The sequence below is a fragment of the Homo sapiens genome, chromosome 3 (assembly GCF_000001405.40).
Source record: "Homo sapiens chromosome 3, GRCh38.p14 Primary Assembly".
Classification (NCBI taxonomy): Eukaryota; Metazoa; Chordata; class Mammalia; order Primates; family Hominidae; genus Homo; species Homo sapiens.
In genome coordinates, this window is record NC_000003.12 from 47266849 (window position 1) to 47292514 (window position 25666).

General features: G+C 46.2%; 2 protein-coding genes across 23 annotated transcripts in view, besides 3 other annotated features; one reads left to right on the forward strand and one right to left on the reverse strand.

Moving 5' to 3' along the window:
• KIF9 (kinesin family member 9) overlaps positions 1–15951 on the reverse strand; it is a 54802-nt gene extending 38851 nt beyond the window's left edge. For 3 of the 17 annotated variants that reach the window (XM_005265389.5, NM_001413976.1, XM_047448710.1), the window contains exons 1-7: positions 15647–15951; positions 10434–10527; positions 8477–8642; positions 6704–6810; positions 4389–4613; positions 332–415; positions 128–220 (exon numbers count right to left, since the gene is read on the reverse strand). In XM_005265389.5, the coding sequence (XP_005265446.1) occupies positions 128–220; positions 332–415; positions 4389–4613; positions 6704–6810; positions 8477–8642; positions 10434–10527; positions 15647–15744 (867 nt within the window). In that variant the 5' untranslated portion in view covers positions 15745–15951. Of the gene's footprint in view, positions 1–127; positions 221–331; positions 416–4388; positions 4614–6703; positions 6811–8379; positions 8643–10433; positions 10532–14103; positions 14348–15291 lie in introns of those variants that run through there. The other 14 variants (NM_022342.6, NM_182902.4, XM_047448712.1 and 11 more) reach the window with 10 other exon arrangements.
• Positions 15275–16474: an enhancer, noted in NCBI's record as "CDK7 strongly-dependent group 2 enhancer chr3:47323613-47324812 (GRCh37/hg19 assembly coordinates)". NCBI's record gives its function as "activates an origin of replication core promoter dependent on BRD2, BRD4, P300/CBP, MED14 and CDK7 cofactors, with strong dependence on CDK7, by STARR-seq in HCT116 cells {active_cell/tissue: HCT116}" and the evidence as "EXISTENCE:reporter gene assay evidence [ECO:0000049][PMID:35650434]".
• Positions 15690–16079: an enhancer, noted in NCBI's record as "active region_19811". NCBI's record gives its function as "activates an Ori minimal core promoter by ATAC-STARR-seq in GM12878 lymphoblastoid cells {active_cell/tissue: GM12878}" and the evidence as "EXISTENCE:reporter gene assay evidence [ECO:0000049][PMID:35858748]".
• Positions 16096–25666, forward strand: part of KLHL18 (kelch like family member 18) — a 63873-nt gene continuing 54302 nt past the window's right edge. For 5 of the 6 annotated variants that reach the window (XM_005265001.4, XM_005265002.6, XM_005265003.4 and 2 more), the window contains exon 1: positions 16096–16246. In XM_005265001.4, coding sequence (XP_005265058.2) covers positions 16118–16246 — 129 coding nt within the window. In that variant the 5' untranslated portion in view covers positions 16096–16117. Of the gene's footprint in view, positions 16247–20387; positions 20501–25666 lie in introns of those variants that run through there. The other variant, XM_047447818.1, reaches the window with a different exon arrangement.
• Positions 24852–24961: an enhancer, noted in NCBI's record as "active region_19812". NCBI's record gives its function as "activates an Ori minimal core promoter by ATAC-STARR-seq in GM12878 lymphoblastoid cells {active_cell/tissue: GM12878}" and the evidence as "EXISTENCE:reporter gene assay evidence [ECO:0000049][PMID:35858748]".

Genomic DNA, 25666 nt, shown 5'->3' on the forward strand with positions numbered 1-25666 from the left:
CCCACTTCGCCTAGCTCAGGACTGTGTTCACAAATATCCAATGAGTCATGGCCCAGATGTGCAGGCACTGTGCCAGAAAAAGGGCTTGTGGTTTATTGAGTAGCAACCTCCAGCCCCCATCACTTACCCCAGACTTCCCCAGCCTCTCTGAGCCTGCCAGATCCACCAAGTTAATTTTGGAAGTGATGTACTTTTCCTCTGATAAGGTCCGGGAATGGGCCTACAAAACATCCAAGCAGAAGTTAGACTGTCACAGGGAGAAGTTTCTGACTGAGCAGGCCCCGTGGGAATTGACTGCCCCGCCTGGGCTGATCAAAGAGCTTGCACCTACCTCTAAGTAGATGGTGAAAATGCAGTGTGATCTGGAAGAGTTTTTGTTCATAGTGTGGGAGGCTATAATCCTGTTGGTCTCACCCTGAAGAGGAAGGGAATCATAGGCAACATTTCGAAAAACTAAAACGACAAGGCACTTGGGTCATTTTTCAATTATACCAATAGCTACACAAGTGGTCTCATATCACTGCGATCAGCTGGGCCTTCCAGGCAAACCTCTTTTATAAACTAATAGAAAGGGAGTCAAATTGGAGTCCACATCTACACTTTCACCCGCCGCTGGGGAAGTGTGAATTGGTATAGCTTTCTGGAAAGCAAAGTGACAATAAAAATCAAGAGCCTTAAAAATGTTTATGAATATTGAATCAGAATCAACCTGCATGTCCAACAATTTGGGAATGATCTATGTATACAGTGGGATATTGGGCAGCCAGGAAAATGCTGACACATAGTTTTTAATAACAGAGAGAAATGTAGAATCCAAAATCATATTATAGCTGATCTAAGAAATGCAAAAGCATTCATAGAAGAAATAAGCAGAATTCTGCTAATAAGATGTTAATAATAGTTGCTTCTGGGTTGGGGTTTATAGGTTATTTTATCTTTTTTATACAGTTTTGTGGGTTTTTTTTAGTGAGCATGTATTACTATAAAAATAATAATTTATATTTTTATTTATTTTGTGTTCTCCTTTTTTTTTTTTTTTTTGGGAGAGCATCTCAGTCTGTCACCCATACTAGAGTGTGGTGGCACGATCTCGGCTCACTATAACCTCTGCCTCCCGGGCCCAAGCCATCCTCCCACCTCGGCTTCCTGAGTAGCTGGGACTACCAGCGTGCACTACCACACCTGGCTAATTTTTGTATTTTTTGTAGAGACAGGGTTTCACCATGTGCCCAGGCTGGTCTGGAACTTATGAGTTCAAGAGATCTGCCCGCCTCGGCCTGCTACAGTGCTGGGATTACAGGCATGAGCCACTGTGCCTGACCTAGTAATTTGTATTTTTAAAGGGACAGTAGGCCCTTACCTCTAATTTACAGGAGGAGGCCTTATGACCAGAATATACTTAAAAAGGAATTTTTTGTAGAGACAGGGTGGTGGTGTGGTGGAAATGGCTGTTCTTGGAGAAAAAGGTCCTTGAGGGATAGACTGATGTCTCCTTAAATGCTGATGAGAAGTGCTATGAACAAGCCCCAAAGTGAGGGTGGGGGACAGCCCCCCCTGGGGAGAGGAGAGCACCCGCTGAAGAGGGAAGGCCTGAGGCTGTGGAGCAAGCCTAGCAGACTCCTGTGGCCATACCTCTATAGCTTATAGTAGTGAGGCTATAGTCTATGGTCAGGCCTGTTCTACAAATCCAGTGACACTCACCAAGAATATAAGGGGTCACTTCATTTTTCTTCTTCTTTTTTTTTTTTTTTTTGAGATCATTCTCACTCTGTTGCCCAGGCTGAAGTGCAGTGGCGTGATGTTGGCTCACTGCAACTTCTGCCTCCCGGGCTCAAGTGATCCTCCTACCTCAGCCTCCCAGGTAGCTAAAATCACAGGTACAGGCCACCATGCCAGGCTAATTTTTTATATTTTTTTGTAGAGACAGGGTTTCGCCATGTTGCTCAGACTGGTCTTAAACTCCTGAGCTCAAGCAATCCTCCTGCCTTAGCCTCCCAAAGTGCTGGGATTACAGGCATGAGCCACCACAGCAGGTCATTCACCTTTACTCTTCAGTCCCCCTTCTGAAGTACCCTCTTGCCTTGTCTTTCTTTTTTTGTATTTTTAATAGAGAGGGGGTTTCACCATGTTGGCCAGGCTGGTCTCGAACTCCTGACTTCCAGTGATCCGCCTGCCCCGGCCTCCCAAAGCTCTGGGATTACAGGTGTGAGACACCGCGCCTGGCCTTGCCTTGTCTTTCTGGCCCTTTAAAAAAGATCCTGCTATTGACGTTGAGGAAGTAAGTTGCTATGTTGTGAGAAGGCACTATGATCATGCCTGTGAATAGCCATTGCACATGTGCCCATTGCCTGGGCAACACAGCGAGAACTTGCATAAAAAAATAAAGAGTTCCTAGCCTATATGACTTCTAAAAGAATAACATACACTTGACTGATTTCTTTTCTTGTTTTTGAGACAGAGTGTTGCTCTATTACCCAGGTTGGAGTGCAGTGGCATGATCTCAGCTTACTGAAACCTCTACCTGCTGGGCTCAAGTGATTCTCCCACCTCAGCTTCCCAAGCAGCTGGGACCACAGGCATGCGCCCCCATGCCTGGCTAATTTTTGTATTTTTGGTAGAGGTGGGGTTTCACTGTGTTGCCCAGGCTGGTCTTGAACTCATGAGCTCAAGTGATCCACCCGCCTTGGCCTCCCAAAGTGCTGGAATTACAGGCGTGAGCCACTGTGCCAGTGCATTTGACTGGTTTCTAAGAGCCTTTATTTTATTTTTTTGAGATGGAGTCTTACTCTATTGCCCAGGCTGGAGTGCAATGGCTTAATCTCAGCTCACTGCAGCCTCTGCCTCCTGGGTTCAAGCAATTCTCCTGCCTCAGCCCCCCGAGTAGCTGGGATTACAGGTGCCCACCACCACTCCCAGCTAATTTTTTTTTTTTTTTTTTTTTTTTTTGAGATGGAGTCTCCCTCTGTCGCCAGGCTGGAGTGCAGTGGCACAATCTCAGCTCACTGCAACCTCTGCCTCCCGGGTTCAAGCTATTCTCCTGCCTAAGCCTCCTGAGTAGTTGGGAGTTAGCGCCACCACATCCAGCTAATTTTTGTATTTGTAGTAGAGACGGGGTTTCACCATGTTGGCCAGGATGGTCTCAATCTCCTGATCTTGTGATCCGCCTGCCTCCGCCTCCCAAAGTGTTGGGATTACAGGCATGAGCCACCGTGCCCAGCCTAATTTTTGTATTGTTAGTGGAGATGAGGTTTCACCATGTTGGCTAAGCTGGTCTCGAACTCCTGACCTCAGGTGATCCACCCACCTCAGCCTCTCAAAGTGCTGGGATTACAGGCATGAGCCACCGCACCTGGCTCTAAGAGCTTTTGTATAGTAAGGATGCTAATTCTTATTTTTCTCTTTTTCTTTTCTTTTTTTTTTTTGAGAAGGAGTTTTGCTCTTGTTGCCCAGGTTGGAGTGCAATGGTACGATCTTGGCTCACTGCAACCAGTGCCTCCCGGGTTCAAGTGATTCTCCTGCCTCAGCCTCCCTAGTAGCTGGGATTACAGGCACCCGCCACCACACCCAGCTTATTTTTTGTATTTTTAGTAGAGATGGGGTTTCACTATGTTGGCCAGGCTGGTCTCAAACTCCTGATCTCAGGTGATCCACCCACCTCAGCCTCCCAAAGTGCTAGGATTACAGGCATCACCCACTGCACCCGGCCTTATTTTTTTCCATACAAGAGCTCATAATTTAACTGAAAAAAGGGACATAAGAATCATTTCAACTATGTAAAGAAAAAGCTGCACAGGAAAAAAGACTGGAAGGAAATGAGCTAAAATATACATTATTGTTGCCTTATGTAAAAAACAGATTATGCATGAATCATTTTTTCTTTTTATTTACGTAACAGGAAAGGAAGAGGAAATAAAATTCTTTTTTGTTCCTTTTTTTTTTCAGCACTATCTGAACTTGCTAAATGTGCATATATTAATTTCCATTCTGATAATCAAAGTAAGTAAAAAACTAGCTGGACACAGTAGCTTGCCTGTAATCCCTGCACTTTGAGAGGCCGAAGTGGGAAGATCGCTTGAGCCCAAGAGTTCAAGACCAGCCTGGGCAACATGGCCAGACCTTGTCTCTACAAAAAAAAAAAAAAAAAAATTAAGTGGGCATGGTAGCATGCTCCTGTGGTCCCAGCTACTTGGGAGGCTGAGGCAGGAGGATCACTTGAGCCCAGGAGGTCGAGGCTGCAGTGAGCCATGTTCATGCCAGTATACTCCAGACTTGGAGAAAAACCAAGATCCTGTCTCAAAAAAAGAAAAAGAAAAAGAAAAAGAAAAGCTGAGAAGGAGGGTGGCAGGGAGGGAGAGAAGGAAAGGAACCCTCAGGTTTTATTATCTCACCTCAAAAAGGAGGCTGAATGCATCCTCCTCCTGACTTGTGAGGTGAACTGACAAGCCCTTAATGAAGACTCCTTGAGGGTTTTCCACGATGGTCATTGGTGTGACTGAGGGTCCAACATAGGGCAGAGTGGACAGGAGATCAAACAGGCTCTCATTATAGATTTCCAAGTAGGAAACACGCACAGTGATGGCATGTGTGGGGCGTTCTTCGATCATCCTAAAAACCTAGATGACAGATTGTACAGCGGTCACCAAGAGCAGAACCCCAACAGCCAACTAGCATAAGGGGGGCTTCCTAACTCAGAAGGGAACATCAAGATGTATAGAATAATTATTGTCCTAAAGGAATTGGGTGATATTTAGTATCATCTTGTAGTGTTTTGAGGCTTGACATCAGATTGGCTAACACTTAAACCATCTCACGAAGTAGAGGCATAATGAGTGGAAAGGACTCTGGAGTGAGGATTTCTTATTTTAGAGTCTCATCATTTATATGCCTCTTTCAAATCTATTTAATTCCATCCACATATAAATCTCTGTGAATGAGGCAGTGCAGGAGCAATACGTATTTGTGGAAGGCACTACAAAATAAAATTATTTGTCAGCCGGGTGTGGTGGCTCACACCTGTGAGCCCAGCACTTTGGAAGGCGGAGGTGGGCAGATCATGAGGTCAGGAGATCGAGACCATCCTGGCCAACATGGTGAAACCCTGTCTCTACTAAAATTACACAAATTAGCTGGGCGTGGTGGCGTGCGCCTGTAGTCCCAGCGACTCGGGAGGCTGAGGCAGGAGAATCTCTTGAACCCAGGACGCAGAGCTTGCAGTGAGATGAGATCACGCCACTGCACTCCAGCCTGGGTGACAGTGAGACTCCATCTAAAAAATAAATAAATAAATAAATAAATAATTTGTCTATTGGTCACTCAGCTAGTAAGGGTAGAAGTAAAGCCAGAACTCAGCCTTCTCAACTCCTAATTCCCTCCCCAGTGCTTATCAAGGAAGGGATAATTCCTGAGGTCCTGCCTTCCTCTAAGAATTTAGACCGGTTTTGTTCAAAATAGTAGACACAAGTTACAGATGGCTGCTGAGTATCTAAAATGTGGCTAGTACAAATGAACTGAATTTTAAATTTTATGTAATTTTAATTACAGTTAGATTTAAAAACTGATGCAATTCAGTTATTGGTAAACTTTAAGTATGTCTGGAACAACTTGGGTATGTAAATCTACTTTTTCAACATTTTATGAAATCTAAATACAGATCAAGCATTTCTGATAATATTTATGCCTAAACTGAAATGTGCCCCAAGTATAAAATATGTACTGGATTTCAAAGACTTAGTATGAGAAAAAGAATGTAAACTATCTCAATAAGTTTATATTGATTACATGCGGAAATATTTTAAATATATTTAGTTAAATAAAATATATCATTAAAATTAATTTCATCTGTTTATTTTTACTTTTTAAAATGTGGTTACTGGAAAACTCAAATTTGCATGTGACTTACAGTATATTTCTATTAGTGGCACTGGGCTAGATTACTAAAGTCTAAGATGCTGAGATACTGAAGCTTTGACAGTGGGATATTAAGGGTATTGCTCCAAAAACAGGAGCATGGATGGTTCACATACTAGAGGAATGTATACACTTCTTATAGGACAGGGCTGCAAAAAATCCTGTCCTATAACACTTCTTATAGGACAGGGCTGTAAAGCTGCCTCTTGGCAGCTTTTGCCTCCTACCTCCGACCAGAGGGTCCTTACAGAACCCAGGCTAGTGGGGCCCAAAGGAAGGCCCTTCTGTCTTATCTTCAGTTATGCTATTGAGACCCCCCGGGCTGACACAGTCCTGAAAGCTCAAGTCATGCCCTCCTTCTTGCTTTTGATCTTTCAGGGGCTGTGGTGGTGAAAAAAGCCAGAGTAGGCCAGTAAGGAAGTTCTGCAAGGGTCTATATGCCCCTCATTAAAACCAGGAAAGAGAATGATTAGGACCTCCAAATCCTTAATTACAGGATCACAGACCACTGGAGCAGCAAGAGGCTGATTAGCATGCCTGACTCCCTCCTTCCCAAATGAGGAAACAGGCTCAGTGTGGGTATGGCTCAGAGTCTGACACCCAACCTCCTGGTTTCCTGAGGCCCCTGACTCTACTGACTCCAGAGCCCTGTGTATGTTGTCTCCAGTACCAGTATCCACTGCAACTCCTTTGAGGCCTGGTCCCCACTGTCTCTAGTAGCTGGCCCAGGGTCAGTAACATCTATGGCAGAGAGAGGGAACCTGTGTGGCATCCCACCCTTGGGCCCACTCTCTACCTGCTGCAGGGCACGAGGGAGGATCCCCCGGTGCTTGTAATTCTCAGTTGCCCCCATCATGGTGTATGTCTTGCCAGCTCCCGTCTGCCCATAACACATGATGGTGCCTGCAAACATTTCAAAACACGGTGACATCCAGGAAAATAGCTCCAAGGATAACTCTCCCCTCTCCCAGCATGCCTGGTGCCAGCCAGGGCCCTTTGCATGAAGATGGCCAGTGGGGGCAGCCAAGAACATCAGGAATTCCACCATGGAAGAGGATGGGTGGGCAGGGGAACAGGGACAAAAGTGGTCAAAACAAGGACATCTGCCCTGAATCTGTGGTCCCCACAATGCTCTGCTGTTCCCTCCACCAAGAGATGATCCGGCCCTAGGGCTTCTGAGAAGGACAGGGAATCTCAGGGTACAGAGGAACTGGAACTTTTCCTAAAAAGATGAGGAGGGAGATAGGAGCATTAGACTCCAGCCCTTCTCTAGCACAGCTATGAACTGCCAGGGTCTCAGGGTTGGCAGGAGGCATCAACTTCCCCACAGAGGCAAAGAGGGGCTTTCAAAATCTCCAGGAAGAGATGGAGTGGAAAGGGCATTTTCTGTCAAGGGTGAGAATTCTTTGTAGACTACAAATTCCTGCAGGATGAAACAGGGCTCCTAGTTGGTTCCATGTCACTTCCAGAAATGTACCACCATGATCAGGCCCTGATCTGGTCCACTGCCCACCCTGGGAAGACTTTCATTGCACTTCTCAACATCCTTTAGGTCTACCATCACCACCAGGCTCCGGGACACAAACCATGCAGTCACCCTGAGCTCCGGCTCCTATCTGTTCTTCCCCTTAGCATGGGCAGCCTGAGCCAGACCCCATCCCACAGGCTGCCCATGGGCATTTACATGGCAGATCTGCCCAGGCAATGCTGGGCTGTGAAAATTTTTTGCCTTTGTCACACAGACACTCTAGTTCTTGGGACTGGTGGCAGGTTTTACACAAGCGATCCTGATTCAGCATCTGAGTTGGAGCCAGAAATGGTGTCTATTAACCCAACACAAATGAACAGGAAGGAGTCACTTCAGCTGCAAATCAGAGCCCATTTGTGGTTCCACAGCACCAGTGCTCAAGACTATTCATCTCCCTGGGCCTTAGTTCCTCTGTCTTCACCTCCTCAAGGTCACAATCAGAGCATCATGAAAACCAAAAGAGAACCTCCTTAAGTCAGTGGGGACCACACCTACGTATCACATTCAGGATAAATTACAGCATCTACACTCAATGCACTTTTAAATATAAAACCTAAACTTGCAAAACAGGGAACATCCTAGTCAGCAGCCACCAGATGGCAAAGTCTACAAACTGTGACATATTCTTTTATACAATCCTATACTAGAATATCAACTGTACATTGATTGTGTTGGTAGAATACATGAAAATAGCTCCTAGCAGGAAGCTGAGAGACAAATGTTTGGACTCCATCAAATTTGTCATAAAGACGTATCTTCAAAACTAATACTTGAGAGATTTGAAACAGGATAATTGAACCCCTGTGACCTATAGAGAGCCATAGTCTTTTAATTTTCCTATGAAGGTAGAATCCCAGGACATTGGATCAAGCCATGCCCACAATGTCAACAAGCAAACAGTAAGTTTTGCAACGTAAGAACATGGAGACAGACAAACATACAAATGATAGTGAGTGAGCTTTTATTTTATTCACCATAAAATATTTGCATCTCTTACTCCTCAGGTTCTTACATAAGACAACATTTAATTAATTAAGTTACCATTATAGCCATCGAGGGCCTGAGAAACCACATCCTTTGCAACTGTCTCATAAACCAAGTCCTGGGAGGCATCGTGAAGAACTCCATCCAACTTAAACGACCAGTCTGTCTGTTGGTTATTGACAACTCCTCTCCGAATGTCTTTTTTTAAGTGAATATCAATGCTCTAGGAAAAAAGAGTGAGAAAGAAAAAAATGTTATTTGTTCAAAAATGGGTATAAAAAAAATCACTGATAGCTGAGGCCTAATCTGGAGGGAACAGAGGAAATGAACTGTAGGATGAATGGGGACTCCCACGTAGGGGCTGATATTCCAGATGAATTCTTTGGGATGGGAGAAGAGAGTTCCTGCAGGGAGATGGAAAGATCAGGAGAGTGGAGCACTTTCTAGTTTTAGCACCTCTAACCCTAGTTCACACGGTGCTGTCTTTGTTTCCCCACCTATGATATGAGGTCAAATTTATCATGTTCTTATTAAACAAGTTTTAGATAGATTCCATAAGCATAGGGAGGCCTTGAATTATGCCAGAGGGAATAGTGAGCCTGGTAACAGAGGCCTGGGCTCCAGCCTCATTGCTCTGGTTGCTGGCAGTGAGGCCTCCCTCAGCTCTGCATTATGGTGAACATCTACTTCCACACACACGCTATGAGCCAAAGTGAGTGATGATGAAATGAAAGCCACAGAGAAGGCTATGGACTTCTCAGACATAGGAATTAAGAGTAAATTGAGGGTGTCATCAGCAGATTTTTAGATGCATGCCCCTTCATAGTAAGCCATTGTAGTAGCAGCTGGCTTAGGGACATACTGGGTAAGGTCAGTGGTAGATTCCAATCTTCTTGATGAGAACTTCTGATGTAAAGACTCTTGCTGAAATCTTACACTGACTGCCCTAATGCAGGAGCTATACCTGGCTACAGAGAGAAAAATTAAGATGAAGAAAGACAGACTTGGCCGGGCATGGTGGCTCACGCCTGTAATCCCAGCACTTTGGGAGGCCGTGGCAGGTAGATCACCTGAGGTCAGGAGTTCCAGACCAGCCTGGCCAACATGGCAAAACCCCGTCTCTACTAAAAATACAAAAATTAGCCAGGCATGGTGGCACGTGCCTGTAATCCCAGCTACTAGCAGGGCTGAGGCAGGACGATCGCTTGAACCTGGGAGGCGGAGGTTGCAGTGAGCCAAGATTGTGCCACTGTACTCCAGCCTGGGCAACAGAGTGGGACTCTGTCTCAAAAAAAAAAAAAAAAAAAGAAAAGAAAGAAAGAAAGACTTGGTCCACTCACACATTAAATGCTCTGTGCTTCTGTGTTCGCTGAAAACCATGTCCAGCAGGACACATTTGATAGGGCTGCATGTGAGCTCTTTTCTGACCGCTAGGACCTGCGAGGCTTGGGCAGTTTGCCCTTGAATTTTTCCTTTGAAGAATGTCTCAATGCTGCCCAGAGTAGGCCCATAATTGTTTGCTGAATGAAAATATCTAACACTCTTACACTGTCCTAAGCCTTCAGAAGCATTCTCAGGGTGAGGATATAGGGACGGATATATCTTTCCACTTCTCTTGATAAGTATTTCTCCAGCTGTTTTGATAAGCTAAACAGTAATGAACTCAAGATATTCTTACTGCACCCCATGGGCGATTATACAATGACAGATCAATCATTAGAAAGCTTTATGAATGTGAACAAATGTCAATTCTTCTGTGTCAGATACGAGGGTAAAGGTAAACTTATTAATTTATTAAAGGTAAAATTATTAAAAGACAATTAACGATGGGATTTTATTAATTTCTTCATTAGCAGTGTGTGAGGGGGTGGTTTGGATTTGATGGGCTCTAGAGTCCATTGGATCCTGTCCAATTCTGTCTTGGTCCTTCAAAGGTTGCTTGGAAATACGGTCACACTATAGCAAGGTGGGACAGAGAGGCCCAGTCAGTTGAAGGCAAACACATCGCACTTACTCTTTTGTCATCTCCGTATCTGATCATTTCATGAGCAAAGTCATCGGTGGGTTTGACACGGACAAATGCATGAACTTTTTTCCTAGTACCCATTCTAGCTAAAAAGAAGGGAACAATGAAATTTTGAGTAGTCATTATCAAATAACAAGTAGAGGAGAGGGGTCATTCATTAAGAAGATCAGAAAAGAGTGACGAGCAGTCCATTTTTCCCTCTCTCCCTGAAAGCCAGTTTTCCTTTTCACCCCTCAGCATTTCAGTGTTCTACCCACAAGACACTGCTCAACAAATACACGCACTTTCTGCTTCACAGACTGCTTTGCCATTTTCCACCAATGACCCCAGAGAGACTGAAATACAAAGTGAAAAGAATGCTTCCTTTAGTGGCCTAATCTTAGATGTCATTTCTAGAAATGTTCTGCAACTAAGATGATGAGTCCACTTATGCTTTCCTTCATTTATTATATTTTCTTCTAAAATACTTACTATGAAATACATTAAAACTAATTTTCTTTTCATTAACTTATCTTGCTTCAGATACAGCATCCTCTTCTCCAGTAGACTAACTAGATCAGAAATAGATGACCCAGACGTATATTTGGTCCATAATAAATATTCTTTCTTCTCTTACTATATTGAGAAAAAATATCACAGACAGTCCCCTACCTCCTCTTGCTCTCCTAAAACCTAACTATATTCTCATCATTTTCTTTCAGTGTGTGTGTGTGTGTGTATGCGTGTGCATATACATATATATAGTAGTATAAATAAAGGAAGACATAGGACATATATACATACATTTTTTTTTTTTGAGACAGAGTCTCACCCTGTCACCCAGGTTGGAGTGCAGTGGTGCTATCATGGCTCAATGCAGCCTTGACCTCCCAGGCTTAAGTGATCCTCCTGCCTCAGCCTCCCCAGTAGCTGGGACTACAGGTGCGTACCACTGTGCCCGGCTAGTTTTCTTACATTTTTTTTGCAGAGATGGCGTCTTACTATGTTGCCTAGGCTGGTCTTGAACTCCTAGCCTCAAGTGATCCTCCTATCTTAGACTTCCAAAGTGCTGGGATTACAGGCATACCCAGCCGATGTTCAATATTTTTTAAAAAATTAACATTTATTTCATTGTTTTATTTTTGGAGACAAGGGTTTCTTTATGTTGTCTAGGCTAGCCTTTAACTTCTGAGCTCAAGTGATTCTCCCATCTCAACCTTCCAAGTAGCTAAGACTACAGGCGCATGGCTTGGCTTTAAAAAAAAACTAACTTTTGGCTGGGTGCAATGGCTCATACCATAATCTTAGCACTTTGGGAGGCCGAGGTGGGCAGATCCCTTGAGGCCAGGAGTTTGAAACCAGCCTGGGCAACATGGCGAAAACCCATCTCTATAAAGAATACAAAAATTAGCCAGGCAGCCAGGTGCGGTGGCTCAGGCCTGTAATCCCAGCACTTTGGGAGGCCGAGGCAGGTGGATTACCTGAGGTCAGGAGTTCAAGACCAGCCTGGCCAACATGGTGAAATGCCATCTCTACTAAAAATACAAAAATTAGCTAGTTGTGGTGGCAGACGCCTGTAATCCCAGCTACTCAGAAGGCTGAGGCAGGAGAATCGCTTGAATCTGGGACGTGGAGGGTGCAGTGAGCTGAGATCGCGCCATTGCACTTCAGCCTGGGCGACAGAGAGGGACTCCATCTCCAAAAAATAAATAAATGAATAAATAAATAAAATAAATAAATTACCAAGCATGGTGGTGCATGCCTATAGTCCCAGCTACTCAGGAGGCTGAGGTGGGAGAATCACTTGAGCCTGGGGAAGCTGAGGCTGCAGTTAGCTTTGATCATACCACTGCACTCCAGCCTAGGTGACAGAGTGAGACCATATCTCAAAAAAAAAAAAAAAAAAAAAACTAACGTGGGCCAAGTGCGTTGGCTCTTGCCTGTAATCCCAGCACTTTGGGAGGCTGAGGATGGCAGATTACCTGAGGTTAGGAGTTCAAGACCAGCCTGGCCAACATGACGAAACCCTGTTTCCACTAAAAAAAAATACAAACATTAGCTGGGTGTAGTGGCAAGCGCCTGTAATCTCAGCTACTCAGGAGGCTGAGACAGGAGAATTGCTTGAATCTGGAGGGTGGAGGTTGCAGTGAGCCAATGTCATGCCACTGCACTCCAGCCTGGGTGACAGAGCAAGCTCAGTCTCAAAAAAAAAAAAAAATCAAAAAATCTAAGTAACTTTTAAGATGTTAACCATAAAAACCCCTCATGTATAACAGGGACTACTTTTAATTAGATTATCTTGCTTTTTTAAAAAGTACATTAAATAATGGTAATATTTTATTTTATTTTATTTTTTTTTTTTGAGGCAGAGTCTCGCTCTATCACCCAGGTTGGAGCGCAGTGGCGCCATCTCAGCTCACTGCAAGCTCCGCCCCCCAGGTTCACGCCATTCTCCTGCCTCAGCCTCCCGAGTAGCTGGGACTACAGGCGCCCGCCACCAAGCCCCGCTAATTTTTCTGTATTTTTAGTAGAGATGGGGTTTCACCGTGTTAGCCAGGATGGTCTCGATCTCCTGACCTCGTGATCTGCCCACCTCAGCGGATCATTTTATATAAAATTATCTAAGAGAGGTCCAATGGGTGTTACCTGACAAAAGTTATTCCAGATTTTATTTATTTATTATTTTTGAGACATTTATTTCAGACAGAGTCTCGATCTCTCTCTCAGGGTGGAGTGCACTGGTGTGATTTCAGCTCACTGCAGCCTGTCTCCCAGGCTCAAGCAATCCTCCCACCTCAACCTCAACCTCCAGAGTAGTGGTAGGACAGGTGTGTGTCACCACACCCGGCTAACGTTTTGCAATTTTGTAGAGATGGGGTTTCAACATGTTGCCCAGGCTGGTCTCAAACTCCTGGGTTCAAGCAATCCACCCACCTCAGCCTCACACTCAATTTCTAAAGCTTGGGGAACCGGGGAACCACTCTTCACATCCAAGGGCCCATTCTCCTGCCCAGGGAAATTCAGATGCCATCCAGGGTATGCTCCGAAAGGGACCATGAAGAAGCAGGGGAGCTCTGGGAGCAGGTGCCCAGGCCTCTCTCCCTGAAGCCCCTGCACAAGAGTAGCACAGGCCAGTTCAGAGCATCAACCTCAGCTGGGCATGGTGGCTCACGCCTGTAATCCCAGCCTTTGGGAGGCCAATGTGGGAGGATCGCTTGAGGCCAGGAATTAGGAACCAGCTTGGGTAACACAGCAAGACCTTGTCTCTACAAAAAATTTTAAAAATTTGCCAAGTGTGGTGGTGCACGCGTGTGGTCCCAATTTCCCAGGAGGCTGAGGCAGGAGGATCACTTGAGCAGTGATGGCACACCACTGCTCTCCAGCCTGGACAACAGCGTGAGACTGTCTCAACAAAACAAAACAAATAAGCAAAAGCATCACTCTCCCTCCAGAGCCTGGCCCTTCTCTGCCCTGCTATTTGCCAACATGCACATGCACACGCAGTCACCCCATGTATGCTTCCCAAGGCCCTCCCATGCTGACACCATGGCTCCAAGCAGGCCAGGAGCCATATCCACCTGCAATAAAGTCTTCCTTTGCACACCCGTCTTGTGAGCCTGCTACTCAGCAGCCCTTTAACACCCAAACATTTAGGGACCCCATGCCATCTTGCACTTACTGAAATACTGCTTGTTACCATTCTTACGTCGCTTCATTTGAGTGGGTTTCAGTTCCCAAAATTAAATTACAAGCTGCTTGAAGGCAAGGATTGTGCTTTTTATCTCTTTTGAATCCCCTCACAATGTCCAGGGCAGAGCCCAGCACAGAGTAGGTATTCAGGAAATGGCGGTGGTTGGTGATGGTAATGGCTGGAAGTCAGAGGGCAGCTGAATCTTCATATGTGGGTCTATCTTCAGTCACTACTGAGAGAGTCCCAAGGGGCATATGATGTCACTCCCCTTCCATGACAACTCCAACCAAAGCCCACAGCCCTTCCAGGAGGACACTTGGTTTCCAGGTGCAAAAATCCACATCCAGCACCTCACCACACGCTTTTTTTGTTTTTGTTTTTGTTTTTTGTTTATTTGTTTTTGTGACAGGGTCTCACTCTGTCACCTAGGCTGGAGTGCAGTGAAACAATCTCGGTTCACCGTAGCCTCCACATCCTGGGTTCAAGCGATCCTCCCACCTCAGCCCCGCAAGTAGCTAGGACTACAGGCGTGCACCACCACGCCCGGGTAATTTTTGTATTTTTCGTAGAGACAGGGTTTCGCCATGTTGCCCAGGCTGGTCTTGAACTCCTGAGCTCAAGCAATCCGCTCACCTCAGCCTCCCAAAGTGCTAGGATTACAGGCGTGAGCCACGGCGCCCGGCCCCCTCCCTTTCTCCCTCAGGACCTTGTGGGGAATGTCTCTCCTTGGGGAACCACCCTTTGATATTTCTGGTATAACAAAGCAAGTCTCTGAATGGCCACCAGGAGACTTCTGTGTTAAGGCGCTCGAGGTTTCCTCATTTGTCTTTAGTGGGAATGAACAGAATTGGCAACAAGCAGCCATGAAGACTAGACAAGAGGAAAGGGAGCGTTTGGTGGGGTGGAAGGCACCAGGTGGGTCCCTATCTTCCAGTGCTCCCGTCCAGATGAGGGGCTGTCATGGGGAACCCTCATAGCTACCCGTAGCGGCAGCACCAACACCCGAATCCAAAACACTGGGTCCAACTGCACCTGGCCTTGGCTGAACAAGACTAGGATGCAGGCAAAACTAGACTTTCTCCTTTTTCTCACCCAATGTGCCGGACCCCCGCGTGGAGCCTGGGCGGCAGTGGGCTTTGGACCCATTCCGGTCCCTCTCTGGAGAGGTTTCCTCACCTGTAACACGAAGGGCTCCGACTGGTGATCCCAAAGCCCCCTCTAGTTCGAAAACTGACTAGTACGGAAGAGTCCAGACGACCTCTGGCTCCCTGCCTCACGGCCTCTATGTCCTGGACGCGACGTGGGACCCCTTTGTGGGACCAATGAACATTAGCTCCGAAGACCGTAAGCCGCGGTCAGGTTGAAAGGACTCCCGCGACGTCGAGCCCTCCTTCGCCTGGGTTTCAGAGATGAGCGACCCAGCTGGGAACCCCCAGATAAAGCGGTTTTTGGACCCCAGCCACTTTCAGCAGTCCGGGCGCACACCCTTTTCCCGTCTCCCCACTCCCACCGGCGAGCAGCCCCTGCTCACCGTTCACCAGGCAGCGACGCTCCCGGGACGCGACTGCCGCAACCGAAACCACCTGCACTCCCCACGCGGGGCTGCCTGGCTGTGTACATAGTCGCCATGGCAACGGGTCGCTTCCGGGGATTCCGGAAGTGTCGGGGTGGCGGAAATGAAGTCCGAGGTCCTACGTCGAGGATACGGGTGAGGTCATGGCCGAATCGGGAAGACGAGAGATGGGGCCGATTGATCTAGAAAGACTTCGGCGGATGCACATGCGAAGTCAAGGTCGAGATAGCGAGGGAACGAAGGCCGCACATGAACCAGGAAGCGGAGTGGCGGGGCTTCCGGCGCCGAGGAGATTCAACTACGGCGGCCGCGGAGGCCCGTCCGATTGCTGCTCCGCGCTCCGAGCGGCTGTCGGCGTGCGCTATCGCCCCGCCCTGGTTAGTGTCTAGCCGGCCGGCGAGGCCTGCGCAGTTGCAGCGGCCGGGGAAGATGGTGGAGGACGGCGCGGAGGAGCTGGAGGATCTGGTGCACTTCTCCGTGTCTGAGTTGCCTAGTCGCGGCTACGGCGTCATGGAGGAGATCCGGCGGCAGGGCAAGCTGTGCGACGTGACCCTCAAGGTACCGCGGACTGGGCGGCAGCGGGCTGAGGGAAAAGGGGTCGAGCGGGGAGTAAAAAGGGGCGGGGGACAGAGAAAGAGAGGTCTAGCAGGGAGAGGGGTGGGGAGAAGAGGTGTGAGGGGGGCCGAGTAGTGGGGAGAGAGGTGCCGAGCAAAAGGGGATCGGGGCCGAGTGGGGAGAGGAAGAGGACAACCTTTCAGCCCTTGAAAGGAAAGGTTGAGAGGTGCGCCGCTTAGGCCCTTGGAGTGGGAGACACGGGTGACAGCCTCCTTTTTCTGTCATGCAGACAAGAGAAAATGGACTTACCTTCTATGGAGGCAGGGGCGGTGGCCGGCTCCACATGCTGATGGGCACCACTGAAGAACCTTCTCTTGTCACTACAGATATTTCTTTGTGCCTGTCGAACTTGGCTGTGCTGTTCTAGAAGAGAAGGCTTCTCCTTAGGAATCATTGCCCTTAATTGTTGAATTACTACTTTGTCTCTTAAGAGCTTTTAAAATCTTCTCTGGAAAATTTTTGAGGTGGGAAGCCACCCTGCCCCATACTGGAAGGCACCACTCACCACCACAAAGGTCCCCGGGGCTGGGCCTGCTGGCCGCGTGGGGAGAGGGATGCTGACTGATATTAAGAGGGAAAGATATCTTAACCACCTGTTCCCCACCAGCATTCTGGTCGCTAGAGCCAGCCTCCCTCCTGTGCCTGGGTCTTTTCATGAGGAAGAGGCATGCTGTGCTGCTGCCTGGCCAAGCCACCGAACCATGTGGAGACGTCCGGTTGGGGAGATGATCAGTGGGGCTCCCTGTTGGGCTTTAGCTGGAAAGCTCTCAGCATCTGTGCGTGATCCCTGTTTAAAAAACAAACAGGGCAGGCATGGTGGCTCACACCTGTAATCCCAGCACTTTGAGAGGCGAGAGGATCACTTGAGTGGGGGAATTGGAGACCAGCCTGGGCTATGTAGGGAGACCCTGTCTCTACAAATAATAAAAAATTGTCTGGGCATGGTAGCCTGTGCCCGTAGTCCCAGCTACTCAGGAGGGTGAGGTGGGAGGATCGCTTGAGCCTAGGAGGTCAAGCCTGCAGTGAGTTGTAATCACACCACTGCACTCCAGCCTGGGCAACACAGCAAGATCCTATTTCTCCTATTTCTCTCTGTCTCTCTCACACACACACACACACACAAATAAATAAATAAAAGAAAAAATAAAACTATGCAGAGATTCTTTTGCTCTTCTTTTCTTTTTTCTTTTTTTTTTTTTTTTTGAGACGGAGTCTCGTTCTGTTGCCCAGGCTGGAGTGCAGTGGCGCTATCTTGGCTCACTGAAACTCTCTCTCCTGGGTTCAAGCGATTCTCCTGCCTCAGCCTCCCCAGCAGCTGGGACTACAGGCGCGCACCACTACCCCTGGCTAATTTTTTCTATTTTTAGTAGAGACAGGGTTTCACCATGTTGCTCAGGCTGGTCTCGAACTCCTGAGCTTCAGCAGTCTGCCTGTCTCGGCCTCCCAAAGTGCTAGAATTACACGCGTGAGTCACCGCGCCCAGCCTGCTCTTCTTATTTTCTACATGGTTAAGGAAACTTTTCTTCTGCAACATAGTTGAGTCAGACCTCTGGAGATGGTAGAGTAGGATGGTTGAGTATGGCTTTGAAAGCAGAAGGATTTGGATTAAAATCCTAGTTGTAACCTTGAGCAAGTTACTTAATCTCTGTAAGCCTCGGTTTTTTTGCTTTTATTTTTATTTTTTTGAGACAGAGTCTCGCTGTGTGGCACAGGCTGGAGTGCAGTGGCATGATCTTGGCTCACTGCAACCTCCACCTCCTGGCTTCAAGCCAGTCTCCTGCCTTAGCCTCCCAAGTAGCTGGGACTACAGGCGCCCGCCACCACGCCCGGCTAATTTTTGTGTGTGTTTTTAGTAGAGACAGGGTTTCACTACGTTAGCCAGACTGCTCCTGACCTCGTGATCCGCCCACCTCAGCCTCCCAAAGTGCTGGGATTACAGGCGTGAGCCACCAAGCCCGGCCCTTTTCATCATTCTAAACCCCTCCTGAAGGAGGTTGTTTTTCCAGGAGAGGAGTGAAGTGATCTGAGAAGGCGTGAGATCTTCTCATATGGGAAAGAGGAACCAAGAGAATTGAGAAAAAATGAGCTAGACTAAAGGAAGCAGAGGAAGTAAAAGTAAATTAGAAGTTTTTGTCCACAGTGATTACATGGTAGAAGATGTTAAGGCCACTAGAAACTTGTAAGCAGAAAAATGATCCGGTTTTGGCAGCAACACTTGGTGTAAATAGAGACTAGTGAAAAGCAGTAATAGGTGTGAATTTCTAGATTAAAATTTAGGCTGTAGGCTGGGCACCGTGGCTCACGCCTATTATCCCAGCACTTTGGAAGGCCAAGGCGAGTGGATCGCTTGAACCCAGGAGTTTGAGACCAGCCTGGGCAACATGGCAAAACCCCGTCTCTATTGGGGAAAAAAAAAAAAAGATTTAGGCTGTAAGGGTGAACCAGGGGAATCTTACAAGACACAGGGAATCAAAAAGGGCGTGGCAGCGTGGGATGGTCACAGATACTTCTACATAAAGTATTAATAGTACATTTAATGCAGATACTGAATATGGTAATCTTTTAGCAGAATATTGCTTGTTCATTCAAAGGGACAAGTAAATTATCAGACATGGCTGGGTGCAGTGGCTCACGCCTGTAATCCCAGCACTTTGGGAGGCCGAGGCAGGTGGATTGCATTGAACTCAGGAGTTTGAGACCAGCTTGGGCAACGTGGTGAAACCCCATCTCTACAAAAAATTAGCTGTAGTGGTGTGTACCTTTAGTCTTTCTTAGCTGCTCAGGAGGCTGAGGTGGGAGGATCACTTGAGCCTGGGAGGCAGAGGCTGCAGTGAGCCGAGATCGTGCCACTGCACTCCAGCCTGGGCAACAGAGTAAGACCCTGTCTCAAAAAAAAAAAAAAAGAATCAGACGTAGTTTCAACTGAGACGGTCAGCCCGAATTGCTGTGTTAGCTTCAGGGATCTAGAACATAAGGACCAGTATATTTATTTTTTTCTCTCTTTAATAAAAAGCCTTCAGTGGGAAGGACTAGTATAAACGCATGGGCTAGAGCTGGACGGGACTGTAGAGAGCATTTACTTCACTGATTTTGAAAACTTTATTGTAGAGCCCAAGGAGTAGCTCTGTAGCAATATAATGGTGGGACCGGGGAAAGAGCATGCAAACCAGGCTCTGCACATTTCACTACTTGCCACCAGAGCTGTCCTGGGAAATCTATTTTGTCTCTCTTTCTTGTCAAAGTCTTCCTTCAGTTTTCTGGTGACTCCACAGTGTTTTTCAAGTAAACAGACACTGAAAAACTGGTTGGAAGCTTTTGGGTGTGAGATGTTTTCTTGACTGGTGGGCCTCCCTGTCAGGCAGTGGTTCTTAAACTTCAGTGGACGTCAGAATCACCTGGTGGCCTTGTTAAAACGCTGGTTGTTGGACCTCACCCAGAATTTCTGATTCATTAGGTCTGGCATGGATCTGAAAACTCATATTTCTGACAGGTTCCCCTGTGATGCTACTGTTAGTCTGGGACCACGTTCTGAGAGCCATGGTTGTAGGGTGATGGACCTGTCGTTTTTCTGTGGGATGTGTTCAAAGTCCGTAGATCTTCCTCCAGGCTTCTTCCTAGGTGGTATAAGCCTGGCTGTTATTTTGGGAGCCTTATGGTAGGAGAGGTCTGGAGGTTCTCCCTTCTGTATGCAGACTTTCACTTAATCCCCCTAAATGGTACCACTTCCTTGTCTTCTGTGGTGCCCTGGTTACCCAGATCCAGAGGCTCTTGTTCATCCTGTCTGAAGAGTAAACCTCCAGTCTTCTGCAGTTGCTTGTCTGGGGAGGGGGACCAGTACTTCCTGATTTCGGCCCTTCTTCTTGCTCACAACTTCAGAGGAAACTGGTACCTCCAGTGGTTCCATTTTGGAGGGGATTCTTCAGTGGCTTGCCATCCGCAATACTCAGTATCCTCTAAGTCAGTTACTACTCATGTGTCTTCTTTTCTTCTTCTAAAATTTTGTTGACCCTTCTAAAATTTTGTTGACCCTTCTAATGTGCTGTCTCTCTCTGCATCTTTTTCCTTCAGAGCTTTGCTGTTCCTTGATCATCAGTCCGAAAGGCGGTATCACACAGACTCTGCAGCCACACTGCCTACGTTTGAGTTCTGGGTCTGCCACTTGTTAGCTGTGAAAATGAGCAGCTTCCTTAAACACTGGTGATTCTCTGTCTCGTCTGTAAAATGCACATCACCACCTACTTGAGTGTTGAGGATTCAATTAGTTAATGTACTTCAAATAATCATGTAGTAAATGCTCAGTAGTGTGTGTGTGTGTGTGTGTGTGTGTGTATTTTTTTTTCTCTCTTTTTTTTGAGACAGAGTCTTGCTCTGTTGTCCAGGCTGAAGGGCAGTAGCGCAATCTTGGCTCACTGCAACCTCCGCCTCCCAGGTTCAAGCGATTCTCCTGCCTCAGCCTCTTGAGTAGCTGGGATTATAGCTACATACCACCATGCATGGCTAATTTTTGAATTTTTGTAGAGACAGGGTTTTACCATGTTGGCCAGGATGGTCTCAAACTTATGACCTCAAGTGATCTGCCTGCCTCGGCCTCCCAAAGTGTTGGGATTACAGGCATCAGCCACCACGCCCGGCCAGTAGTATATATTTATTAATAATAACTTAATGGAGTTTCTAGAAGGAGTGGAGATAAATTCATGTGTTCAACCTGCCATTTTGAATTTGTTTTAGCTTCTGTTGAACTTTGAATGATTTTATCTGGACAAAATGTTCATTGCCTTAAATGACTTTGCTGGCAGGACACAGTGGCTCACGCCTGATCCCAGCACTGTGGGAGGCCGAGATGGGCAGATCACGAGATCAAGAGATCAAGAACATCCATGCCAACATGGTGAAACCCCATCTCTACTAAAAATACAAAAATTAGCTGGACATGCTGGCGCGGGCCTGTAGTCCCAGCCACTCAGGAGGCTGAGGCAGCAGAATCGCTTGAACCTGGGAGGCGGAGGTTGCAGTGAGCCAAGATCACGCCACTGCACTCCAGCCTGGGGACAGAGTGAGACTCTGTCTCCAAAAAAAAAAAAAAAAAAAAAAAAGACTTTGCCAACCACTGCACTAATTCATTAGCCTGCTCTTTACAAATGAAGACCCAAGCCCAGAAAGGGAAGGGACTTACTCAAGGTCACAGGTTGAGTTAAGCAGCACTGGGACTAGACTCTTCGTCTCCATATTCAGGGTCAGGTGTTCTCTCATGCTCTCCTGTTGCATCTTCTGTCACTGACGGTAAATGAACTGATTTCAGCTGCTACCACGTGAATTAATCTACCTCAGGTCTACTGTATTCATCCTTAATGGCGTGTCATCTTTTCTATCTTCCTGAATTTTAGGGAGAACGTGAAAATAAATATTAGCAGGCATGCCACATTCTCAAAATTAACTGCCAACACTTGAACCTAGGCTTAATTTCCTTTTGGAAAATATTTGAAATTTAAATTCACTGGAAGCCTGTCGGATAGTGAGATAGAGGCATGACAGAAAAGAGTAACATATTCATTTAAAAAAAATCACATTCTGTATCTCCCATGGCTTGAACCTGTTATGAGAAAAAGCCCATGGTCCTTTTCCTTGGCAAATCATTTTATCTTAAAAGTTATGAGGATTGTAGTGCAAGACTTGTTGGCATAAGGCTTGGCCTAGGTAGAGAGATTTGTGTCCATGGACGCTCTCATCCCTTCTTCCCAGCGTTGAGTTTCGTGTCCTTTGCTCTGGGCTGCCAGGAGCCCAAGGCTCAGGAAGCATTGTCTGATTCATCTGGGTCTAGCCAGTTGGGCACACTTGCTAGGTTTAATGAGTTTTTCTTCTTATTCATGAGATTTGGAGCCAGATTTTATATATTTATTTTTTCCCCTATGCTTCTGTAAGGCATTGAAATTCATATATTTCTGCTCTCCCTTTATCTCACACATTTATTTTCTTTTTGAGTGACAGCATAATGAGGTCACCAAACCTGAGTATTATTCACAGGGCCATAAGCTTAAAGGAGAGAGGAGCTCCCTATATAGACACACACCCTTTATTTTGCAACCGCTGATAAATGGTTCCTGAAAGATCTGCTGGCATTAGTCTTCTCAGCATTTTCCCAAGGCCCCTGCTGAGGTTTCGAACCTGGCTCTGATAATTTAGCCCTCAGAAGGAAATGTTTTTTCCATGGGTGAAAGGTACAGTATTAGAATATTTCCTTGTGTTACCCACTAAATGTAGGCACACAGTTTTCACGAAATTGGCTTCAAGAGCTACACATTTGAATCTGGAATCTTGCCTAATTTGTTGTCACCACTGGCTTTGTGATGAAAGAGTAGGTGGAGAAGGATATGAGGAAATGAAGTAAGGGCTTGTTGATGCATACCATTTTTATGTTGTGTATATAGTACAGTGAGTTACACAGGGTTAATTATAGAGCTAGAATAATCATATTAAAAGGAGCTGTAGGCTGGGTACGGTGGCTCACATCTGTAATCTCAGCACTTTGGGAAGTGAGGTGGGAGGATTGCTTGAGCCCAGGAGGTCAAGGCTGCAGTGTGAGCCATAGTTGAACGACTGCACTGCAGCCTGGCAATAGCGTGACTCTGTCTCAAAAAAAGAAAAAAGAGAATTGTAGAGGTTCCCTATCAAAGCTATCATTTTACATGTGAATGCATGGACATAGAGTGTGGAATGAATGGAGACTGGAGTGGGATGAGGGATGAGAAATTACTGGGTACAATGTACATTATTTGGATGATGGTTACACTAAAAGCCCAGACTTCACCACTATGCAATATATCCATGTATCAAAACTGCCCTTGTACCCCTAAATTTATACAAATAAAAACATTTTTAAGCCATCATTTTACAGATGTAAAAAACCCTGAGGCTTAGAGCTATTAAGGGATTTGCCCATGGCACAAAGCTGTATCAGCTGAGATCTAACACAGCTGTTTATTGGTGGAAGCCATGCTTTTACATCCTGTCAGATTATTCACCTGCCCTGCTGATGGTATGAAGCATAGTAGGGAACAAAGCATCCTTAGTGTCATTCTTGAGCACAGAGGGCAAAGATGTGAATGTCCAGATGCCACACCAACATTTTATTTCAGGAGAGAAGATGCAGGCTTTTTCTACTAGTCTTTTAGACATATGAATTCTTGACTCTGATTTTGAAATGACATTGTATTGGAAAACTTGTGCTTCTGAATATTGCTCATTCCCAGGGTTTTCTACTGACATTTTTCATGTAGTTAGGTTTATCTCTCTCTGTGTAGTTAGCTTTGTCTCCCTCTTTTTTTTTTTCCTTGAGACAGGGTCTCATCTCTTGCCCAGGCTGGAGTACAGTGGTGGATCACAGCCCACTGCAGCGTCGAAATCCCTGGCTCAAGCCATCCTCCCACCTCAGCCTCCCAAGTAGCTGGGACCACAGGTGTATGCCACCACGCCTGGCTAATTTTGTTTATTTTTTGAGAGATGGGGCCTCACCTTGTGGTCTAGGCTGGTCTCAAACTCCTGGGCTCAAGCGATCCTCCTGCTTCCACCTCCCCAAGTGCTGGGATTACAGGCATGAACCACCACACCTGGCCCAGCCTTGTCTCTTTCTAATGAGCAATAAGAACTGAGAGGAAGAACATGCTCCTTGAGGGGCACAGCACTTGTTATACAAATTTCCTATCAAAAATTCAGTTTTAATCTCCTTGTTCAAGTTATGTTGTGAATAATGCTGTTAAATTTGGACACCAATTAGGTGAATTAGAGAGCTTGATGCTGCCTGACATGTGGGTGGGGAAAGAGAGTTGGAGGTACAGCCTGGACTATCCGTTACCAGTCAAGCAACATTCATCATGTTCACCCTAAGGCTTCTGGAGCTTGCTGGCTGGCTGACTGGCTCGCCAGGTACATTTAAGAAGCCTGTGCTTGGGGATGTTTCTTAACTGCAGACGGTTCCTTTATTATTCTGTACATGAGACTCCATTGTTTGCCCCTTAGCCCCACTTGGTTTAGCTTGTAGGCTAGTTGATGGAAGATGAGACCACATTGTTTTTCTAAATGTGTGTTCCTAGCCCTTCCCAAATTACAAGCATGGCAGCTACCTTTCTACTTTCGAACTTGTTGAGTATTGGCACTGTCATTGCCTCTTTGGCATGGAACCAGCCAGCTGGCCTGTGGTTAGCTTAGGAAGACCTTAGGAAGAACATCCAAGCAGCTGATTACATCACCACTTTTTTCCAATTGGGGACAAAAGTGGGTGAACCAAGGTGCGTGAACTAAGAGTTAACAAGCATTTTCTGTAAAGGGCCAGATAGTAAATACTTAAGGATTCGTGGGTAATATAGTTTCAGTTGCAGCTACTTAACTCTGATGCTATAGTGCAAAAGCAGCTATACACAATGTATAAATGAATGGGTGTGGCTGTGTTCCAGTGAAACTTTACAAAAGAAGCATGAGCTGAATCCGTTGCCTATAGTTTACTGACCTGTTATATACTGATAGGGCCTCTAAGGCTTTTGAAGTAGGTTTTATTTTTATTATTTATTGCTCTAGCATATACTTCTGTAGTTTCAACACAGTATTTAGGAATTGAAGCATTTCTTGTTAAAGAATACAAATGAACCGGAAGTGAAAAAAATTTTCCCAGCTTACTACAGGTGATCATGGGACTATACTGATTAGTAAGTGAGTAAGTAACATAGAAGTTACTGTTAAATTTAGCATCTCATTTGTAAAGCCTTCACGCTCTGCTGGAACTTGAAGCAGAATGTTTCCAAAGTCTTAACTAAAGACACCATGCTCCCATTCTGTCTCAGTTGAAGCTGAGGATGCTTAGCTGCTGGCAGAATGGCAGGCCAGAGACCCTGATGGCTCTTACGTTCCAGTGAAACAGACAGTCTGTGTTCAGGGCCTTGAAGGTAAAGGTCAGAGCTTGGGCTTTTGGCAGGCAAAATAGGTGAACTGTAGTTCAAATATGACCCAATATAATGGTATATGTGGGCAGAGTGTTCTGAATAGCTGATCAGAACACAAAAATGCTTTTCACGCCTGTAATCCCAGCACTTTGGGAGGCCAGGGTGGGTGGATCACCTGAGGTCAGGAGTTCGAGACCAGCCTGACCAACATGGTGAAACCCCATCTCTACTAAAAATATAAAATTAGCCAGGCGTGGTGTCGCATGCCTGTAGTCCCAGCTACTCGGGAGGCTGAGGCGGGAGAATTGCTTGAACCCAGGAGGCAGAGGTTGCAGTGAGCCGAGATCGTGCCATTGCACTCCAGCCTAGGCAACAAAAGTGAAACTCCATCTCAAAAAAAAAAAAGCTTTCAAAAAATAAGCTCAAGAACAGA